At 38.1% G+C, this 22389-nt stretch overlaps 1 protein-coding gene and 2 long non-coding RNA genes across 12 annotated transcripts in view, besides 4 other annotated features; 2 read left to right on the plus strand and 1 right to left on the minus strand.

Annotated features, from left to right (window-relative positions):
* The window catches only part of LOC105370438 (uncharacterized), a 68133-nt gene extending 52266 nt beyond the window's left edge, over positions 1–15867 (plus strand). The window contains exons 3-4 of one of the 2 annotated variants that reach the window (XR_943722.3): positions 8542–8698; positions 11796–15867. This is a non-coding gene — a long non-coding RNA (uncharacterized LOC105370438). The remainder of the gene's footprint in view (positions 1–8541; positions 8699–11795) is intronic. The other variant, XR_943723.3, reaches the window with a different exon arrangement.
* Positions 2143–2292: an enhancer, noted in NCBI's record as "active region_8236". NCBI's record gives its function as "activates an Ori minimal core promoter by ATAC-STARR-seq in GM12878 lymphoblastoid cells {active_cell/tissue: GM12878}" and the evidence as "EXISTENCE:reporter gene assay evidence [ECO:0000049][PMID:35858748]".
* Positions 11270–19102, minus strand: NUBPL-DT (NUBPL divergent transcript). The gene is made up of 3 exons (XR_943720.2): positions 18882–19102; positions 11759–11834; positions 11270–11401 (listed from the first exon to the last, which is right to left on the minus strand). It is a non-coding gene; the product is annotated as an NUBPL divergent transcript (long non-coding RNA).
* Positions 19018–19417: an enhancer, noted in NCBI's record as "active region_8237". NCBI's record gives its function as "activates an Ori minimal core promoter by ATAC-STARR-seq in GM12878 lymphoblastoid cells {active_cell/tissue: GM12878}" and the evidence as "EXISTENCE:reporter gene assay evidence [ECO:0000049][PMID:35858748]".
* Positions 19018–19899: a biological region, named in NCBI's record as "H3K27ac hESC enhancer GRCh37_chr14:32030779-32031334".
* Positions 19175–22389, plus strand: part of NUBPL (NUBP iron-sulfur cluster assembly factor, mitochondrial) — a 299821-nt gene continuing 296606 nt past the window's right edge. For all 9 annotated transcript variants that reach the window (NR_120408.2, XR_007064050.1, NM_025152.3 and 6 more), the window contains exons 1-2: positions 19175–19318; positions 19839–19986. Coding sequence is in view for 7 of the 9 variants with exons in the window: in NM_025152.3 (NP_079428.2) it covers positions 19211–19318; positions 19839–19986 (256 nt within the window). In the remaining 2 variants the exon portion in view is untranslated. The remainder of the gene's footprint in view (positions 19319–19838; positions 19987–22389) is intronic.
* Positions 19344–19899: an enhancer, noted in NCBI's record as "H3K27ac hESC enhancer chr14:32030779-32031334 (GRCh37/hg19 assembly coordinates)". NCBI's record gives its function as "activates a minimal SCP1, AML or CMV promoter by ChIP-STARR-seq in naive H9 embryonic stem cells {active_cell/tissue: H9 hESC(naive)}" and the evidence as "EXISTENCE:reporter gene assay evidence [ECO:0000049][PMID:30033119]".

The following is a 22389-nucleotide window of genomic DNA, read 5'->3' on the forward strand; positions in this document are numbered from 1 at the left end:
GCCATCAGGTTTTTAATCTCATAAATGTAACATTTTTTAAGAATTAGAGGCTAGTAATTATTGTTTTGAAAAGTTTTCTTCTGCTACCTGCATTGTCTTTATTTCTTCTGAATTCCTTTTCTACACTGTTGTCTTTAGGGTAAAGGTATTCCTCAACTGTTGGGTGATACTAGGCTGTCTTTTTATATTTGCAAATGGTTCTTAAAAGTTGATTGGGAGCTTTATGTATATGGATGGACTTCCTTATATGTGATGAGGCAGCAAGCAAGCTTTTTTGTTTTTGAGACCCCAAAATAGCAGTTTCTATAGATCTTTTAGGATTTTAAATTTCTTCAAAGAAAATCATCAAAGGAATATACAGATACATGCAAGCATTCTAGGAGTAGCGTAGGTGAAAGTGATTATAGGCCCCACAGTTTACTACCTAGACTTTCACTTAATCCTTCTGTGATGTACTGCTAAATATTAACAACTAGTTATGTGAAAGGGGGAAAAAAAGACCTGATTTGTAGCATTTGCCAACATCTGTGTGTCATTATTCTCAACATGGCCAATTTCAGCCTACCAACATGATGTCATTTAATGTGGAGTTGGGAAGATACACATAGTAGCTTGCCATCATCACATAGTATTTCTACCATACGAACACAATAGGCGTAAATAACCTCGAGGAAATAGTAAAATATAGTAAAAATAATTAGGCAGTTATAAGCTTTGAATATTGATTATGTCTGTTTTTAATACAATTTATTTAATTGTAAGCTTATATAATTTAAGTTTTTTCAATGGCACTGTTTAACAACTGGCTTGCCAAATTCCTGAAAATTTAGCAATCAGTTCTTGTGAGCTGGTACAAACTAGTTCCAGAGCATCACTGCTGTTTCCAGTCCTAGGCCCAACCCTCACCATTTACTGTGTCTGGCCTTCCTGATTCTGGAGCCTCTATTGCTGATTTTCTCCTGAGAATATAGTTCTGGTAGCCTGCAAGGTGTGGTGGTGAAGGATAAAGGATAAAGAGTTATGGCCTAAATGTATGGGTTGTGACTGAGTAAAACTAGGAATCTATAGCTTATTCTACAGGCTTTTGACAAATCCCTATATTTTCAGCCACCTACCTAAGCACTTGCCTTCGACAGTGCCTAGCACCACAGATTCCTGAGCCCTCTTTGTCTCTGCCAGTAAAAGAAGCTTCTCTGCAGACACCAAAGAGCAGTGCCTCTGCCTTCCTGGGTCAGGTGCTGCTGTTCTACCTGCTTCCTCTCTTCTAAGATGTTGACATCACTTCTTGGTTATTATCTTTTCTCCCATTCTCTTTGTCCTTGTGGATTTATGCCTTTTATATGTCCTTTCTACATTTTAGTGGCAGCAGATAAATAAGTGTATTCAGTTAGGTTTGTTTAACTGGAAGAATAGCTCAATAAGTATTGCATTTAAAATTTGTTGAATTGACTTAAGATTCCTGGAGTTGTTGTAGCAGCAACTAAACTCTGTCAATTGTTGCTGCTGTCAGTTAGCAGGAACTCTGTCAATTAGCAGGAACTCACCAACTACTGATTTATTTAGTGTATTATTGTATCCTAGGCTATTAGATACCCACTTTGATTTTTCCTCTATTCTTTCCTTAAAATGAACTTTTTATTTTAGAGTAGTTTTAGATTTACAGAAAAGTTACAAAGACTGTACAGAATGTTCTCATATACCCTTACCCAATTTTCCCTATTATAAGTATCTTAGTATGTTACATTTGTCACAATTAATGAACCAATACTGATACATTACTATTAATTAAGGTCCATACTTTATTCAGGTCTCCCTAATTTTTACATAATGTCCTTTTTCTGCTCCAGGATCCTCTTCAGGATACCACATTACATTTAATCAGCATATCTCCTTAGGCAAGTCTTGGCTGTGACAGTTTTCAGATTTTCCTTGTTTTTGATGACTTTGACAATTTTGGAGAGTACAGATTAGGTATATTATAGAATGTCCCTCAACTTGGATTTGTTTTTCTCATCATTAGACTGAAGTTATGGGTTTTTGGGAGGAGGACCACAGAAGTTAAATGTCATTTTAAATATATCGTATTAAGGGTCTGCAATACTTAATGCAATTCTGATGCTAACCACTTGGAGTAGCACAGACTCCAAGTTAAGGTCACAATCCCCAGCAAGACTGCTCTCACTTCAGATGCTAGCCATACGTTTGGGGGTTCCCAGGCCACCCACACTTCTGCCCAACTAACTACACATTCAGGGGTTCCCACAAGCCCTTCAGCTTTGATAATTCCCTAGAATGACTCACGGAACTCAGGGAAGATCTATACTTACGATTATAAAGCACACAAATCAGGGACAGCCAAGTGAAGAAACACATAGCAAGAGGCCAGGGAGAGCCTCAAACACAAACTTTCATGTCCTCTCCCCATGGAGTCAGAATGTGTCACGCTCCTGGCACATCAATGTGTTCACAACTGGAAAGCTCTTCTGAGCTGTGGTGTCTGGAGTTTTGAATTAGAATTTCATTACACAGGCATGATTGATTGAATTATTAGCCACATTTTTGAACTCAGTGTCTGGGACCCCTCCCCTCCATGGAGTTGATTGAGCTGTGTTGATATCACCTGGCTCAAAATCTCCAAGTCTCTAATCACATGATTGGTCTTTCTGGCATGCCAGCTCCCATCCTGAACTATCTTATTAGCATAAATTCTATGATCTGAGGGGCTCATGAATAACCGTCACTCTTATTACTTGGGAAATTCCAAGTACTTGGCATCTTCCTCCCAGGAACCAAGGATGAATGAAGGCCGGTCAAATTCTTTACTATACAGCATACTATCAACATGACATATCACTGATGATGGTGACCTTGATCACCAGGCTGAGGTAGTGTTTGTCAGGTTTCTCCACTGTAAAGTTATTCTCTCCCCTCACCTTTTCCGTACTCTACTCTTTGGAAGGAAGTCACTACAGGCACTTCAGATATAAAAAGTTATGCCCAACCTCCTTGAGGGGTAAATATTTACATTAAATTAATCGGAATACTTTGACAAGAGAGATTTATATCTTCCTCCTGTTTATCTATTTATTAATGATTTACTTTATATCAGTGTGGGTTCATGAATATTTTATACTTTGGTTATAATCTAATAGAGCTTTATTTTACTACTCACGTTGTTCTAGCCTTGGTTGTTGGGAAGTCTTGCAGAGGCATCTTGTGTTCCTTTGACTTCCTCCCGCCACTGTGAATTGTTTTGTTTTTGTTTGTTTTTAGCACTTCCTTTCTTGTACTACAAGATGCTCTAAGCTCATCTTCTGTTTCCTGCCCCAGTCCTAGAGCCAGCCATTTCTCTAGAGAGCACTGGTTTTTTGAAATTGGAGAATACGTTTTATCTACATTCTTTTTAATCATTTTCTTTTCTTTCTGACTTTTGTTTAAACTTTATTTTTGGAAATAATATAGCTAGTCAGTGCTCATTCTCATTTTGGGTGAGATTACTGAGATACAGAAACTGTAAATCAGGGTCTGTCTTTCCTCTTGCACAGGAGACAAAAACAGCATTTTAAGTAAAAATTGCAGTTGCAAAGACCCGGAGTGTTTTCTTTTTGATAACCCCCATAATCCCAGAAGGGATGGAATTGTCTAAAATGAAAAAGAGAAGCACAGTTCAGGGAGTTGTTGGATGAGACTACGGAAACAGCAAGAGAAAACATGATTTTGACTTCATGATTTTTGTCTAGAATTTTATTTTGGAGATTTAACACTGGAATTTCATCTCTGGGAGGCCTGGGATATCTATTTTCTTACCAACATTTTATGTTATGAAGAATTTAAACATTTAACAAAGATGAAATAATTTTAGCCTGAAATAATTTTATGGTGAACTCTGTTGATATCACCTAGATTTTATCATTAACTGTTTATACTCCTTGTTCTATCACATATCTGTTTATCCCTCTGTCCATCTATTAATCTTCTTATTTTTGATATATTTTAATTGCAGACATCAGTATACTTCCCCCAATACTTCAGCATTTGTGTCAATAGCTAGAGTTCAATATTTACTTACAGTTTTTAAAATGTAAAATTTATATACAATGAAATGTGCAAAGTGTCCATCCATCAACAGATGAATATATAAAGAAAATGTGGTATATATACACAATAGGATATTATTCAGCCATAAACATAAATAAAATATAGTCATTTGCAACAACATGAATAGAAGTGGAGCCATGTTGGCCAGGCTGGTCTCAAACTCTTGACCTCAGGTGATCCGCCTGCCTCAGCCTCCCAAAGTGCTGAGATTACAGGCATGAGCCACTGTGCCCAGCCTTAATTGCCTTTTATTTATGAAAATACCACAAGTTTAAAATCCATTATTTTATTGACTGGGCATTTTCCTACTTGAGACTACTACGAAAAAAGCTGTTATGACCATTTCCGATTAAGTCTTGTTGGCTATATGTTTTCATTTCTCTTCGGTAAATGCTTAGCAGTGCAATTGCTAGGTCATAGAACAGGTGTATATTTAAGCCTCATAATGCCAGACCACTTTCCAAAATGGTTGCACCACTTAAAATTTCCTCTAACAAAGTGTATGAAAGTTCCGATTTCCTCACAACCTTGTCAGTGTTTGGTTTTGTCAGTTCTTTAAATATTTGAGATTCTGGTGATTATGTAGTGATACATCATTGTAGTTTTAATTTGTATTTCCCTGTTGACTAATGATACTGAGCACTTTTTCATGTGCTCATGGCTATTCATGTAGCTTCACTTTTATGAAGCATCTTTTCAAACCTTTTGTCTATTTTTCAATTCAATTTTTTTTTGTGTGTGAGTTCTGGTATTTCTTTATATTTTAGATCAGTGCTGTCCAATAGAATTTCCTACATTTGTTCAAAATGTTCATTGTAAAATGTGTCTAGTGTAATTGAGAAAAAAACTGTATTTAATTTTGATCAATTTACGTTGATATAGCTACATTGACTGATGACTACCATATCAAATAGTGTAGTTCTAGATATGAGTCATTTTTGGATACATGTTTTGTGAATATTTTCTCCCAGTCTGTGGCTTGGCTATTCATTTTCTTTTTTTAAAAAAATTAAAAACAAAATTTTTAAGTTTTATGGAAGTATGGTAGTTGTATATATTTATGGGGTACATGTGAGATTTTGATATAAGCATATAATGTGTAATGATCAAATCAGGGTAACTGGGATAACCATCACCTCAACCATTTATTTTTTTTTTTTTTTTGGGGTTAGGAAGATTCCAATCCCACTCTTCTATTTATTTTTAAATATACAATGAATTATTATTAACTGTAGTCACCCTATGTTGCTACTGAACACTAGAGCTTATTCCTTCTATCTAACTGATTTTTGTACCTATTAACCAGCTCATATTTATCGCCCTTCCACACTGCCTTTCCCAGCCTCTGATAACCATCAATGTATTCTCTATCTTCATGAGATCAAGTTTTTCACATATGCGTGAGAACACATGATATTTGTCTTTCTATGCCTGGCTTATTTCACTTAACGTAATATCCTCCAGTTCTATTCATGTCGTTGCAAGTGACAAGATTTCATTCTTTTTTATGGCTGAATTATATCCTATTGTGTATATATACCACATTTTCTTTATCCATTCATCTGTTGATGGATGGACACTTAAGTTGATTCCATATTTTGGCTATTGTGAATACTGCTGCAATAAACATGAGAGTGCAGATATCTCTTTGATATGTTGACTCTCTTTCTGGTTATATACCCAGCAGTGGAATTGCTGGATCAAATGGTGTTTCTAGTTTTTTATTGTTTTGTTTTTTTTTTTGAGACGGAGTCTCCCTCTGTTGCCCAGGCTGGAGTTCAGTGGCGTGAACTTGGCTCACTATAACCTCCGCCTCCCGGGTTCAGGTGAGTCTCCTGCCTCAGCCTCCCAAGTAGCTGGGACTACAGGCACCTGCCACCACGCCCAGCTAATTTTTGTATTTTTAGTAGAGACGGGGTTTCACCATTTTGCCCAGGCTGGTCTTGAACTCCTAACCTTGTGATCTGCCTGCCTCGGCCTCCCAAAGTGCTGGGATTACAGGTGTGAGCCACCGCACTTGGCCAGTTTTAGTTTTTTGAAGAAGTTCCATATTTTCCATAGTGGCTGTACTAATTTATATTCCCACCAACAGTGTAGAAGGGTTCCCCTTTCTCCACATCTTCACCAGCATCTGTTATTGCCTGTCTTTTTGACAAAAGCCATTTTAACTGGGGTGAGATGATATCTCATTACGGCTTTGATTTGATCTGATAATTAGTGATGTTGAACATTTTTAAAAAACCTGAATATCTGTATATATTTATTTGTACATCTTCTTTTGAGAAATGTCTATTCAGATCTTTTTCTCACTTAAAAATCAGACTTTTTTTTTTCTGCTTTTGAGGTGTTTGAGCTTCTTATGTATTCTGGTTATTAATCCCTTGTCAGATGGGTAGTTTTCAAATATTTTCTCCCATTCTGTGAGTGGTCTCTTCACTTTGTTTCCTTAGCTGTGTAGAAGCTTTTTAGCTTGATATGATCTCATTTGCCCACTTTTGCTTTGTTTGCCTATACTTTTGAGTTCTTACTCAAGAAATCTTTGCCTGAACCAATGTCCTGGAGCATCTCCTCAATGTTTTCTTCTAGTAGTTTCAAGTTTCAGCTCTTAGATTTAGGTTTTTATTTTGATTTGACTTTTGTGTATGGTGAGAGATAGGGGTCTAGTTTCATTCTTTCTCACATGGACATCTAGTTTCCCCAGCACCATTTATTGAAGAGACTGTTCTTTTCCTAATGTATGTTCTTGGTCCCTTTATTGAAAATGTGTTGACTGTAAATGCATGAATTTATTTCTGGGTTCTCTATTCTGTTCCATTGGTGTATGTGTCTGTTTTTATGCCAGTACCATGTTGTTTTGGTTACTATAGCTTTGTAGTATGATTTGAAGTCAGGTGGCTTTGTAATATAATTTGATGCCTCTAGCTTTGTTCTTTTTGCTTATGATTGCTTTGGCTATTCTGGTTCCTTTGTGGTTCCATATAAATTTTAGGATTGTTTTTTCTATTTCTGTGAAGAATGTTATTGGTATTTTGATAGGGTTTGCATTGAATCTGTAGATTGCTTTGGGTATTATGGACATTTTAACAATATTGATTTTTCCAATCCATGAACATGGAGTATCTTTTTCCTTTATTTTTTTCATTAGTGTTTTACAGTTTTCATTTTAGAGATCTGTATTAGTCCATTCTCACACTGCTATAAAGAAATATCTGAGACTGGGTAATTTATAAAGAAAAGAGGTTTAATTGGCTCATGGTTCTGCAGGCTATATAGGAAGTGTGGCTGGGGAGGCCTCAGGAAACTTACAATCATTGTGGAAAGTGGTCATTGTAGAATGTGAAGGGGAAGTAGACACATCTTCACATGGCCAAAGCAGGAGGAAGACTGAGATGGGGGAGTTGCCACACACTTTTAAAAAACCAGATTTCATAAGAACTCTATCAGTAGAACAGCACCAAAGGAGGAAATCTGCCTGCATGATCCAATCACCTCCCATCAGGCCCCACCTCCAACATTGGGTATTACAACTCAACGTGAGATTTGGGTGGATACACAAATCCAAACCATATCAACTTCTTCTCTTTCTCCTTCTCCTTCTTCCTCTCTTCCTCTCCTCCTTCTCCTCCTTCTCTTCCTCCTCCTGCTCCTCCTCTTCCTCCTCCTCCTTCTCCTTCTTCTCCCTCTTTTTTTTTTTTGACGGTCTCACTTCCATTGCCCAGGCTGGCATACAGGGGTGCAATCTTGGCTCACTGTAGCCTCAACTTCCTGGACTCAGATGATCTTCCCACCTCAACCTCCTGAGTAGCTGGGACTACAGGTGCACACCACCATGGCTGGCTAATTTTTTGTATTTCAGTAGAGGGGATTTTGCCATGTTGCCCAGGCTGGTCTCAAACTCCTGGGCTCAAGTGATCCACCTGCCTCACCCTCAAAAATTGTGAGCTGTTGTGCCCAGCTGAGATCTTTCACTTATTTGGTTAAGTTTATTCCTAGGTGTTCTATTTTATTTGTGGCTATTGCAAATTGGCTATTCATTTTCTTAGTGGGATCTTTTGATGTGCAGAAGTTTTAAATTTTGATCGTGCCTAACTTGTACATTTTTTAAAATGGCTTTTGTATTCTGTGACACATCTAAGAAACTTTTGATCACTCCTAAGTCAGGAGTAAATGCTCTCATTTTGCACTTTCTCAAGAAATTTTAGAATCATCTCATTAATTGCTGGGATTATGATTGGGGTTTTGTTGAATCTATAGATAGCGTGCAAGTAACATTGACTTTGATATTTTTAATTTGAGACTTTCAGGAATGGATATCTATGTTGGTCGATGTATTTTAATACTTTGGCGAAAGGAAAACAGGGTCTGATCAGCCTTCTGTGTTTTAGGCAAGAAGAGAGCCTATAATAGTCTACAAAATACTTCTATTTTGTGTTGTTTACTCAGAAGGACTTTGGACAACAATTTCTTTGACTGAAACTGGGGTCAGAGTTGCAGACTCCCTGGAACATGAAAAGTCAATAATCTAGTTCCCAAAAGGCAGACAAGAAACTATTCCCAAGATGAACAAATGATGAGAATAGAGGTAAAGGTGAAAATGATGGTAAGTGTGAAAAATCCATTTATAACACTTCAATTTGTGTTCTTTAAGGAAGAAAATATACCTTGTGCTTTTTCTGGTCTGCAGCATCTCTAAACTATTTGCCTTTATTTTCTCAAAAGTATTTTAGGAACAGTGAAGTTACACAACTTTGTTCTCTTCAGTTCTTATTTTAATTCAATATGAGCTTGGAAGAAGAATCTACAGATTATTTCATTTAATCCCTTCATGGTGTATGAAGTAAACAGATTTAGAGTTAAATGATTTGTCTGAGGCCATGCGGCTAGTTAGTAGCAGAGTTCTGACAACATCCCAGGCTTTTCTATCTCTCTACTCCACTGATATTTCCAGTATGCATTGCTTTTATAATAGCTAACCACTCACTAACTCCTGATCCCCTACAATGTGCCTGGCGCTGTGCTACATATAGGTGATATAAATTATCATTATAATATACTTTTGTTCCTCAAATACCACATAGCTCTATGTAATAGAAGACATATGAAAATAGTAAAAGGGGCCAGGTACGGTGGCTCACGCCTATAATCCCAGCACTTTGGGAGGCCAAGGCGGGCAGATCACCTGAGGTCAGGAGTTTGAGAACAGCCTGGACAACATGGTGAAACCCCGTCTCTACTAAAAATACAAAAATTAGCTAGGTGTGGTGGCAAGTGCCTGTAATCCCAGCTACTCAGGAGGCTGAGGCAGGACAATCGCTTGAGCCGGGGAGGCAGAGGTTGCAGTGAGCCGATATCATGCCACTGCACTCCAGCAGGGGTGACAGAGCAAGACTCTGACCCCAAAAAAAAAAAAAAAAAAAAAAAAAGAAAAAAGAAAAGATTGTATGAGAGAGACCTGACATAGGCTAGCATTGCTAACTTCAATTTATAAAATGAAAGCAATCAAACTGCACCTTAAATTCATGTTCTATTAAATAAAATGTTAACTGTTAAGGAAGGTGAAGTTTAATGCTTGATGAAATTATCAGAGAAGTCTATAGAAAAAGAAAAATTTGAGACAGAATTTCAAGGAATGATGGAATTAGGAAGGGTAGAGGGATTATAAACTATTATAATCGGGACACAACAAATATGTTAATAAAAACTTGAATACCTTATAAATTAAAATGCAATTTCAATGCAGTTCAAGACAAGGACATTACATATGTTTATGGGCTTCTGAAATAAATTACTTTTAACTAAAACTAATGAAACACAGATTTATATGAGAAGCTTAGAGGTAAATTAAGTCGTGAAGTAGGCATTCAGATTTCTTTCTGCAGAAGTAGTGATATTTCCCCCAGGCGCTTCTCTTATGGTAGCTGGTCCTAAGGGAATACTCTTTTGTCAGTAGCATGCAGTAGTCCTGTATAGGTAATAAGAGACCTCCATCTCCATATTGCTTTCAGCAATTTGCCCTAAAACAAATAATCTAAACTCTTTGATTCCTCATTTCCATATGCAGTAATAGGACTAATAATAACTGCCCTGTCAATCTCATGGCAGTTGTGAAAATGAATATATACAATTTTTATTTATCAATTATATTACACCTCAATAAAACTGGAGAAAATGAGAAATGTACAGATTATGGTTCAATGAAGATTCTATGAAGATATTTTTAGGGACAAAATCTGCAGTGTTGTCTGCAGCATTGACTTGGTTGTCTCCAAAGATTATAATAGCATTAATAATATTTTTCCTTGGGTTTAGATAACTCTATGGTGTCTGTGCAGTATGATTAATTGAATGCTTCATATGTACTGAATCTTTTTTCATGAACTAGGCTGATTTACAATGATACAGTTAGCAGTTATTTAGGGTGTCACTGGAAAATTCTTGTTTATATTACTTTTTATTTATACATTATGTACAAAAAATTGCCTTCTTCATGCTTGTATCCATATTATTTACATAATTGAAGAATGATGATGAACTGCTAATGTAGACAGAGAATGGAGATGAAACTAATTTCTTATATAACCACTGAAGAGAAGAGTGGTCATGGAGAGAAGAGTAGAACAAGAATTATAATCATGTTTAATTTTTCTTTCACTTGGAAATGACTTGAGTGGGTTCAACCATTACTAAGAAAAATATAATTTGATTTGTGAAACAAAGAGATTCTAAGAATCTCTTTGTTTCACAAATGTCTCTATTCTCTAGTATCTAATATTAAAATATTATTTTATGGGGTTGGCAATTAATATTATAAAATGAATGAATTATTAATAGTTAATAACATTTAATAACTCTCAACAAAGATTCAAACTACACAAAGGTTTTAATTTTGTAACAAAATGTGCAATTTTTTCCACAAATGGCAAAAAAGAATTGCTCACAAGAAACTATACCTTGACTGTAGACTTATTAAAATCTAGGTTATTGAGTATTAGTTATCTATTGCTGCATAAAAATTGCACAAACTTGGTGGTTTAAGACAATATGCATTTATTATCACACGGTATCTGTGGGTCAGGAATCTGGGCACAACTTGAGTCCTTTGCTTCATAATCTCTCACAAGACTGCACGGAAGAATCTGCTTCCAATCTCACATGGTTGCTGGCAGAATTCAGTTTCTTGCAGGCTGTTGGACTGAGGGCATCAGCTTTCTGTTGGCTATTGGCTGTCCTTTGCTACATGGGCTTTTCCACAGGGCATTTCACAAGATGATAGCTTGCTTTCTCAGAGCCAGTTGAGGGTCTCCTAGCAAGACAGATATACCATGTTGTGTAATATAATCATAGAAGTGATATCTATCAGTTTTGTTGCATTTTATTGATTAGAAGCAAGTTCTAGGTCCTGCTCACTCTCGGGAGGGACTTACACAAGGGTGAGAATACCAAGAGGTGAGGACCACTGGGGGCCATCTTAGAGTCTGTGGAAAAAGAATGGATTAATTTGACATATGGTAGAGTGAAAAGAGAGGGTAAACTCAGATGCTTATTAGCAATTCATATCCAATTAATTCTATAATCCAGAAGCAATTGGTGGGAATGGCTTAATAGAATTTCCAGTTAGCGATATAGTATCACAAACTAATAAGCACAAGGTGCTAAGTACATTATTTTCTTCTTCTGTGATCCTGCTCTGTCTCCAGTGCTGTCAGCTGTGAAATGAGAAAGCCTTCCATCAGACCCTGGAAAAGATGTAAAGAGCTGTACTTCAGAAAAATATTGGAGAAAAGTACAAATCTTAAAAAAATTTTTTTGAGTAGTGCATTTCATCAGCAGATGCTGTCAATTTTGTTATACTGGTAACAGATATCTATGGAAAATGAAATTCTCAACAGCACATTGCCAGCATGTTCCCCCACAAAAACAGCCATGGTTAAATAAAATAGAAATTCTTGCACATGATTAGAAATTTGCAAAAGAGATTAAATGTGGCATTGATATAATAAAGCCTTTGATTAACTAACAAAACTTCATCAGGTATCTAAAAGAGCTGTTTGAATTTCTAACCAAGTCAGAACACCAGCTATTACACTCCTTAAAACAATTATGCCCCAAATTAACATCTTATATGCAAAAACATTTTGTCTGTTTTGAAGACTAACAAAGACTGGAAAAGCATGAGAAAGATGAGTAGTTATCACTTCAATAGTGTTTGGATTATTGAGTTATGGTTAATTGATGGTCTTTAATAGGATTTACAAAGCTAGTATCATAGACGGTCAGGGAAATCCTCTTTCCAAACATTATATAGTTAAGTCACAGAAGATGCTGTGGAAAATAGACCCAAATAGTGCCTATAAGTATAGTTGGTATGAATTGAAGCACTACAAGCAGTGATAGAGCTGTGTGGAAGACAGAAGACAAACATCACACTTTTAAGTTTGCCGATCTACCCTGGAATAAATTGATGTTACAATCCTTGATGTTTGTATTTCTGCTCTGTTGCTCTAAGTGAGAATATAGGATGTACTTTGAGAGATTACAGTAAGTTGTAGGAGTTCCTCACTCATATAAATGGATTGAACAGGGCCAGGTGCGGTGGCTCATGCCTGTAACCCTGGCACTTTGGGAGGATGAGGTGGGAGGATTGCCTGAGCTCAGGAGTTCAAGGCCAGCCTAGGAAACATGGGAAGACCCTGTCTCTATGAATGAATGAATAATAAACAGATTTAATGAATTCTGGATCTGCTGTATTTATCGCATATCATGTATAATATCTTTATGTATGGTTAATAAATTCTAAATAGAAAAGGTTAATAAATGAATCAACAAGATTGGGTACCAGAACACCAAGTAGATAAGATATTATCCAAGCCACACGATTATAGAGAACATCCTCACATTTTGGCAGCAGCATAAAACAGACAAACATCTACATTATCTCATTTTTCCTGAAGAAAACAGAACTTCACATGAGCTGAAATGAATGCTTGGTATCATGATGGGTCTCTGTCATTGTCCTTGGTATGTCCTCTAAAGTAAAAACAGGAAAATCCTCTTCTGAATACCTAATGAAGTAAGGTTTCAGCAAAGTCTTGTAGAAACTTATGTTCTCTAGTCTCTAAGAATTGAAAGGTGGGAGGGGCTTGGCTAAAGGAATACTTGTTTGGTACTGGAGAAAATGAAAAAGCAAAAACATGGGAATTCTGGGGTTCCGTGCCTCGCAAATATTTGTCTTGGGTGACAAATTTTTTTCCAAATTCTGATTGTGTGGCTCCTGTTTCAGGATGGGCTCTTTGAAGCTTTAAACATTAATCAGAGACTATATTCAGGTATAAAGCAAGCCTGTGACCTTTGTCCAAGGATTCAGTTCAGTCTTGTAAATCAGAAATTCAAATGTCAAATCATTCATGATTTATTCAGCTTTGGATATGGGCATTTAGAAACACATGCTGTCAAAGTATAGAGGTGTATTTTTAGTCATTTGAGGCATATTCTCTGAAGTCTATCCCATCTACAAAGATACATACATTTCCTTTATGTAATTTTAAATTATAAGAATGGGGAACGTCTTTGACAGGACTAGTTTATGCCAGTTAAGATGCTGAAAGGCCAGCAAAGTCTTTGATAGGGGAAAGGCCATGAATTTCTAGATCACATTTCATATTGAGAGAGTGGCTCATTGTGGGAGCTATTCACTTAAACAGATTTATTCTATATTTCAATGTGCAAATTAGTATTCAATGTAGCTAAGAGACAGTTTCATGCTTGGAGCCATGAACAGGGAGGTTTGAAAACAAATCACAGTGTGAGGCAAAGTAGGGTCAATTAAGGGGGTTGCCATTTAGACAAGTCCCATAGATGGGATAAGGTTTTCTTTTTGGTGAGCCTTTGGACAGGATGAGAAGGTCAGTTGTGGACAGTAACCTCAAACTAAAGGAACTGAAATAAGTTTCTGAGCTTTATTCAGTATATTCAACAGAGACAAACTGTCCAAGATACCCTATTCTTCCTTAGTGAGTTGAGCAAGGGAGTGGATCACACGTTCTCAGCTGACATTGACACAGCCTGAGGCCTATGGAAAGGGAATGAGGTAGTCTTCTTATCTGTGAGGGAATCTGAAACTTCAGTGAGTCCTTAGTCACCTAAGAAGGGTTGTCTTTTGGGAGGAACGAGGGCAACCTTACAGGTATAAATCCTTCCTTTTTAGAAAACAATACAAGGTATTACTCTACACATAATTAGGAGATATTCAAAAGAATCTTCTTTATTTTGATCAGTATTTATTTATTTATTTATAAATTTCTGTCAGGGTGGGGGAAAATCTTGTTCAATACAGATTCCACCAGGATTGTAGCTAAGTCACAGACAGCCTATGCAGTGTCCAGATATCCACATGCTGAGGTGAACTTCATCTTCAAGGTATTTATCTATGCATACCAGCATCCATGGAGATGCTAATAACTAACCATGCAGATTGTTGCCAAATGTTCCCTAATTCTTGACCTTAAGGACTCTTTAGGATCAGCATTCTCTTAGCCACTTTGTGGCTCACTCAGATCTATCTATCTGCCTAAACATAACACTCAACCATTCTTATTCTGTGGTTCTGCCACTGCACTGAGCTCCACCTGGTAATGGGGACATTGATTCTGTTGTTTTCACATCCCCCAAGCTGATTTGGGGTTCTGTTGTCCCCCCTCCCCACTAGAGATTAATCTTGGGTGAACAGGAGAGAGGTAGTCTCAGAGTATGGGAGTCCTTCTTATTCGCTGTAACAGGCACAGATTATTGTAGCTCAAATAACAGAAATCCTAGCCAACAGTGGCTTAAATATCTCACATAACCAGAGGTCTGGAAATGCAGACCAGGACTGGTATAGCAGCTTAGTTATACTGCCAAGAATTCATCTTCTTGCCATATTTCCTCTTTGTCTTCCTCAGCTTTTGGCTTCTATTATTGTGGTTGTCATTATTGTGCTTTTCATGTTCACAAGATGACTGCCACATCTCCATGTCACATCCATGGTCAAGGTGGGAAAAAGGAGTTAGCACCAACTACGTTCCACTCAATCAGAAAAGCAAAAGCTTTCTCAGAAACTTCCCAGAAAAATTTCCCTTTACCACATTGGGTTAGCCAATTACAAATGACTGGTACAAGAACCCATGGATATTTAAGTTCTCAGTTTTCTTCAGATTCTCTTCATCCCTCATAATCCCAGGAAACTTGTTATAGTCTGTCTAGGACAGATACTAACTTGGCTCATTGACTACCCACTTCCAGTCACATTCTCCATTGCTTTCCTCTACTCTACAGGTTAGAGAGCTCTAAATGCTTAATTTCTCAGTTTCTCTTGGTTCTAAGGATGGTCATGTGACCCGGTTCTAGCCAGTCGGGTGTGTGTGTGTGTGTGTGTGTGTGTCTTCCTTTCCTGAATAAAAAAGGCAAAGGCTCACTAGGAAATTCTCTTTGTCATTCCCTCCTCTTCCTATATGGAACATAGCTTTGATGCCTGAAGGTACAACAAACATCTCATGACTATGAGGGGATGAAAATGGATACCAAGGATACCAAGATGATGGAACAAAAAGAATTGATTTGGAACATGACGGCACTATGGATTCATCGTATTGGACCTCTGTGATATAATTCTGAACTTTTCATATAAGACTAATATACCCCTACTTGTTTAATACAACTGTAGAGTTATCTGCTACTTGCAGCCAAATGTAATCCTAACTAATATAGGCAATAAATCATGTTTTTATATCACTATGTAGGTCTTCCAATCTATTGTCTTTGCCAGAGCTGTCTCCATTCTTCTAAAAGGTCCCAACTTCCAAAATTCAAAACCAAGAAAACAACCTCTTTTCTCTGACATTTTTATTGGGTCAGACATTTTGCTGTGTCAGAAAATGATTCCATATAATTTGTCCAAATGGGGAAGGGCTATGCGAGATACAAGGAATTATAGGGAGAAAATTATTGACACATATTTAAAAATATATCTCAGCATAGTTACAAATACACAGAAACCCATCCAAATTAGACTAAGACAGTAAATTTATTGGGTGGATGTAAGTATATCTTATGGACCTAAGGATAGGAAGTCCGGTTGAACCTCATTATGAACTGGAACCAGGAACTGAAAAGTTATGAACCAGTGCAGCTCTTCTCCCTTTCCTCTATGGTAACATGATCTCTTATGATCTACTTTCTTCTTCTCTCTTGCATTGGCTTTATCTGCTTCTGCATGCACATAGTAGAAAATAGTAATTTCAACTGTATTAGCTCAAAGACAAACTAAGATTGACTAACACCTGTTACTTTTATTTTCCAGGCTCTCTGGAGAATTAATCTGATTGGTCAATTTTTTGGTTGTACATCAGTCTTTAGTCCAATTAGTGACCTTGGGAATGGGGTCAAATGACTTAGCAATTCTTAGGACCAAAGGAGAATACCCTTTTGAAAAGAGGCCATGGATATGTATATGTGTGTCAGTGTTTTTTGGAGAAGAAACATCTCTACTACTCTCCTAAAATTTTAATTTGGGGAAAGGTAAACCAAAGTAATGATTCAGCCATTCTACAAACATTATTCTCACTTGCTCCTCCTCTTATGTTTTCTCTCAGGGAATTCATCTAGTTGCTCATGTCATAAACCTCTACACAACCAATGATTACCACAATAGCTAACAATTACTAACTCTGTGACAGCTGTTCTACATGCATTATCTTAAGTTCAACCTCACAACAACCATAGAAGTAGGAATTAACTATTTTATTGATAACAAAGTGAAATTTAGAGATGTTAAGTCAAGCCTTCAAGAGAGAGACCTCATGTCTCCTTGTCTCTGATCTTGCCCCGCTGATCCATTTCTTTTTTAACCCAGTAATCATAGTGGTATTTCTAAAACACAAATCTGATGTTACTTTCCTGCTTAAAATCCTTCTATAGTTCCCTTAGGATAAAGTCCAAATTTCTTTACAAGATATATACAGCCTTTCTTGATTTAGGCAACCTCCATCTAACCAACCTTCACTCCATCCTCATCTCTTTTAGTCACTTTGTCCTAAGTTGCACAGATCATTTACAGTTCTTAACAATCCAGAAAAGAAATGTATTTTCTACTCCTCTTGTGTTCTCTCTTCTTTTCTCTCTTCTTTCTTTTTTTATTTTTATTTTTGATATCTTTTTTATTTTTTTATTTTTATTTTTTAGTATTTATTGATCATTCTTGGGTATTTCTCGGAGCGGGGGATTTGGCAGGGTCATAGGACAATAGTGGAGGGAAGGTCAGCAGATAAACATGTGAACAAGGGTCTCTGGTTTTCCTAGGCAGAGGACCCTGCGGCCTTCCGCAGTGTTTGTGTCCCTGGGTACTTGAGATTAGGGAGTGGTGATGACTCTTAACGAGCATGCTGCCTTCAAGCATCTGTTTAACAAAGCACATCTTGCACCGCCCTTAATCCATTTAACCCTGAGTGGACACAGCACATGTTTCAGAGAGCACGGGGTTGGGGGTAAGGTTATAGATTAACAGCATCCCAAGGCAGAATAATTTTTCTTAGTACAGAACAAAATGGAGTCTCCTATGTCTACTTCTTTCTACACAGACACAGTAACAATCTGATCTCTCTTTCCTTTCCCCACATTTCCCCCTTTTCTATTCGACAAAACCGCCATCGTCATCATGGCCCGTTCTCAATGAGCTGTTGGGTACACCTCCTAGACAGGGTGGCGGCTGGGCAGAGGGGCCCCTCACTTCCCAGACGGGGTGGCCGGGCAGAGGTGACTCCACCTCCCGGACGGGGTGGCGGCCGGGCGGGGTCTGCCCCCCACCTCCCTCCGGGACGGGGCGGCTGACCGGATGGGGGCTGCCCCCCACGTCCCTCCCGGACGGGGCAGCTGGCCGGGCGGGGGCTTTTCTCTCTTCTTTCATCTTTCTTCCTTCTACTCTCTTCTTCTTTCTTCTTCCTTCTTCTTTCTTCTCCTTTTAATTTCCTCTTCCTCCTTCCTCCTTCCTTCTTTCTTCTTCTTCTGACAAGGTGTCACTCTGCTGCCCACGCTGGAGTGCAGTGGTGCAATCATAGCTCACTGCATCCTTGAACTCCTGGCTCAAGCAATCCTCTTGCTTTGGCCTCCCAAAGTGTTGGAATTACACGCGTGAGCCACCATGCCTAGCCTTAGCAGTCCATTTCTAACCTCTTTACAACAATCTCCTTGCCATTCTCCCAGCTAACTTCTACACATTATTCAGATTCAGCATTCAGCTTAGATATTACCTAATTTAGAAGCTTCCCCTGATTGAATTGAGTGCCCTTTCTTTGTATCACTTTGTCCTTTCTCCTGTATCCCTCAATGCTTTTCTCCTGTACTTATCATATTATACCGCAATTTTGTTGTTAACTTATTCTGTCTTTTGCACTGGATTATAAAGCCCTTTAGTGGAGGAATTATGTCGGTCTCAATGCTGAATATTTTAAGTCTACTGTAGTACTCGGTACATAGTAGTTGCTCAACGAATATTTGTTAAATAAATGAGTCTTAAGTCTGGAAGAACTTGCAAAGTTCTTTACCAGGTTGCTGGTAAAGCAACCTGACCTTTCTTTCAGGGAACTGTCAGCAACACAAGCCATGAATACCAACGCAAAACAGACTCTCACTGTAGATCACACGGGAAAAAATAAAATAAAAAGGTAAAATCCTTAACGGTGGTAGTATTTAAATGACCATATACTGCTTAGTAAGAAATCCTGGGGTCATTTTCAAGGTCCCCCATTTCCTACTTTTGTTAAGCTGGGTCAAGTCTCTTTAAACTTTCTCCGTTTTCTTGTCCATAAAAAGAGTATACTAGGTAAGTCTTCTGTCTACCTCGGGACTTCTGTAAGTATCATAAGAGATGTTTTATATGACAACACTTCACAAACGTTTAGTAAAACGCTGCAAAATGTTTGTAGCTGGCTATAAACAAGATCATGCAGATTGGGTTCCTGAGCCAACAAACCCAAAGAAGACCGGTTGCTAGGAAGAGAAAGCCGAGCGTTGCTCCGTGACGTCATCACTCCGCGCCACCCGCGACAGTTTCCCAGCAGGGCTCACAGCAGCGTTCCGCGTCATGGGGATTTGGCAGCGTCTGCTGCTTTTTGGTGGGGTGTCGCTCCGGGCTGGTGGCGGGGCCACTGCCCCGCTTGGGGGAAGCCGAGCGATGGTTTGTGGGCGCCAGGTCCGTGGTGCTGCAGGGCAGGGGGAAGCGGGCTGACAGATGCTGGGCTGCAGGGCCGCAGATGCCCTGGCATTGCTTCTTGCCAAAGACTCGCCTCAGTTCCTGAGACCCCCAGTGTGCTGGACGTGCCTACTTTTCAGGCAGGCCCAGGCTGAGGCGTGGCGGGACTTGAAACACAGTTAGAACGTAGATGTGGTATTCTACATTGCTTTCTTGGCTTTGGGTTATTTATCAAATAGATTGAAGAAAAGCAAAACACGTGGAAGCCTTATCTCCGTAAAGAGGCAGCGTTTTTACATTTTTAAACGTTCAGCGTATCCTGCTAGAAAAATTTCAATTTAAGCAATGTGTCTTTACAATTGTTATCAGTAGTAGTAGGTAAATGTCTCCATAGTGAAGATGAGCAGAATTAGAAAAGAAAGCCCTCTTAATTGCAAACCCCAGATTGTTTTTGCTTTTACAGTGTGATGATGGAGATGGCTTATTTAAAACGGCTTTTTATTATTATTATTTTTTAAAGTTGTCTGGCGCCGGGAGTGAGACCCTAAAACAAAGAAGAACACAAATCATGTCCCGAGGACTTCCAAAGCAGAAACCGATAGAAGGTGTTAAACAAGTTATAGTTGTGGCTTCTGGAAAGGGTGGAGTCGGAAAATCTACTACAGCAGGTATTATAGGATATTAATTCTATTCCTGATTAAGAACTTATGCCAACAGACAAGTGCACACTATTGAAATTATAGTTTTGTGTTTTAAAAATTTATTTGTGAAGTTCCTAACATGTGATTCCTTAGTTTCAGGAGTTGGTAGCGGGTAGACGCTTAGATTTTGGAGTTAGACAAAAGTAGGTACTAGCCGGGTCTCCCACCCCTTAACTCAGGAAAAAGTGGTCAGATTGTACAGCAAATCTTCAGTTCACTTAACTGTAAAATGGAGATAACTTCTTTCATAAGATGGTTATTCAAATTGCACAAGCTAACCACTTAGCTTAGTGTTTACTAGTGTTCAATAATTGGTTGCTGTTATTTTTAAAACATCTAGTAACTTTTTTTTTTTGTTTTTTTTTTTTTTTTTGAGACGGAATCTCGCTCTGTCACCCAGGCTGTAGTGCAGTGGCGCAATCTCGGCTCACTGTAAGCTCCGCCTCCCGGGGTTCACGCCATTCTCCTGCCTCAGCCTCCCAAGTAGCTGGGACTACAGGCGCCCACCACCACGCCCGGCTAATTTTTTTTTTGTATTTTTAGTAGAGACGGGGTTTCACCGTGTTAACCAGGATGGTCTCCATCTCCTGATCTCGTGATCCGCCCGCCTAGCCCTCCCAAAGTGCTGGGATTACAGGTGTGAGCCATCGCGCCCTGCCTACTAGCTCATTTTTCCCCATTTTTATCAGAAGGGAATTCTGGAAGAATTTGTCAGATGTTTTGGAAAAGTTAAGATTTACCAAATATTGTATTTGTGGTGGATCACTAATCCATTACTATTTGATAGATACCATATTGTTAAAAAAAATTAATAATCTGTTCTTAATGAATTCATGTGCTCTCCTGCACATTTTTCCTTTCTTTCCTAAAGGTTTACAATCCATCTGGTTGTTTTTAAAATTTAGAAGCTCTTAGTTTTTGGTTCTAGAACCTTTTGGAGTACATTTTTCAGTTTTCAGTGGTTTGAATCCTTTTGCATGCTCTGTGATTACTTGAACTGGATAAGGATGGAAGGTGTTTTCATGATTGTAGCCATAAGTTCTTTGCGTTTTGTAATTTGTTGGGTCTGTAGGCTGGCACTTGTTTAAGATTGTTTGTTTATTATTTTTAGTTGGAAGATGATTGTTGCCATGAAATGTGAAAGCATTTAAACAGGAAAATGTATGAGAAAGTGTACAACATGTGACACGTAATGGGTGCTTCAGTAAATGTCCCTTTCTCACTTTTTTTCTGTTAACATTATACCATCTGTCCCGAAAAGCTGGCCCATACTTTTTCATAACAGCTCTGTGAGCATATCTAAGTCTTAAAAATAGGTTATTTTTATGTAACTCTATTGGTATTATTAATATATTTCTTTTCCTTATATGTATTTATTCCTGCCTCAAACTACTTCAAAATACTTCCCATTTGAATATACATGCTAGAGATGTTTTAGATTAGAATGATGACATTTGACTAATGCAAATATGCTCAGTGATTCTATTGTTTAAATGTAGGAAGAACCTAACTCTAAAATGAATTGCCCTCTGAAAGTTTCTGCCTTAAAGTTGTATTATGTGTAACCTATCTTGTACCTGAAATTCAGAATTTTGTAACTTATAAAAACGAATTTATCAAGTCTTTGCCCTAGGCTAAGTATTTTACATGCAATATTTCGTTTAATCCTGATCACAGTTATGAAGTAGGCATTGTTTTCATTTTATAGAAGAGAAAACAGACTTATGGGTAAAATAACCTACTCAAGAGTACACAATAGAAGGTGGCAGAGCTGGGATTTGAACCAGGTCTGCCTTAAAAATTTATGCTCTTAACTAGTTTTAAGAAAATAACCCTGACATAGTTTATACCATTGTTCTGTAAGGAAATGTGATTCACATTATGAGCGCCTATTTGTTGATCAGTCTTTGAATTGTGTTACTCTTCTCGGATGTAGCATATTCCTATTGCTGGTCTAAAGCTGGCTTTGGGACTACTGCTTTCCTTCTTTATGGGATTCGTCAGCATAAGCAGTTTGGGAACACATTTTACTCTCTTACCTTTTACCCTTTTCCCTTCCCTCTGTGCACAGTAGTCCAGCCTTTCATATACATGAGTATTTATGAATTAGATACTTGGAACTCCTGCAATATCAGCATTTATTTTTAAAAGGCAGTAGGGGCAGGATGCGGTGGCTCATGCCTGTAATGCCAGCACTTTGGGAGGCTGAGGTGGGAGGATTGCTTGAGCCAGGGCAACATGGCAAGACCCTGTCTGTAAAAAAAAAAAAAAAAAAAAAAAATGAGCTGGGTGTGGTGGTGCCCACCTGTGGTCCCAACTCCAGCCTGGGGGACAGAGCATAGTAATCATAAATGAAAGGCAATGAGATTG

This window comes from Homo sapiens, chromosome 14 (assembly GCF_000001405.40).
Source record: "Homo sapiens chromosome 14, GRCh38.p14 Primary Assembly".
NCBI lineage: Eukaryota > Metazoa > Chordata > Mammalia > Primates > Hominidae > Homo > Homo sapiens.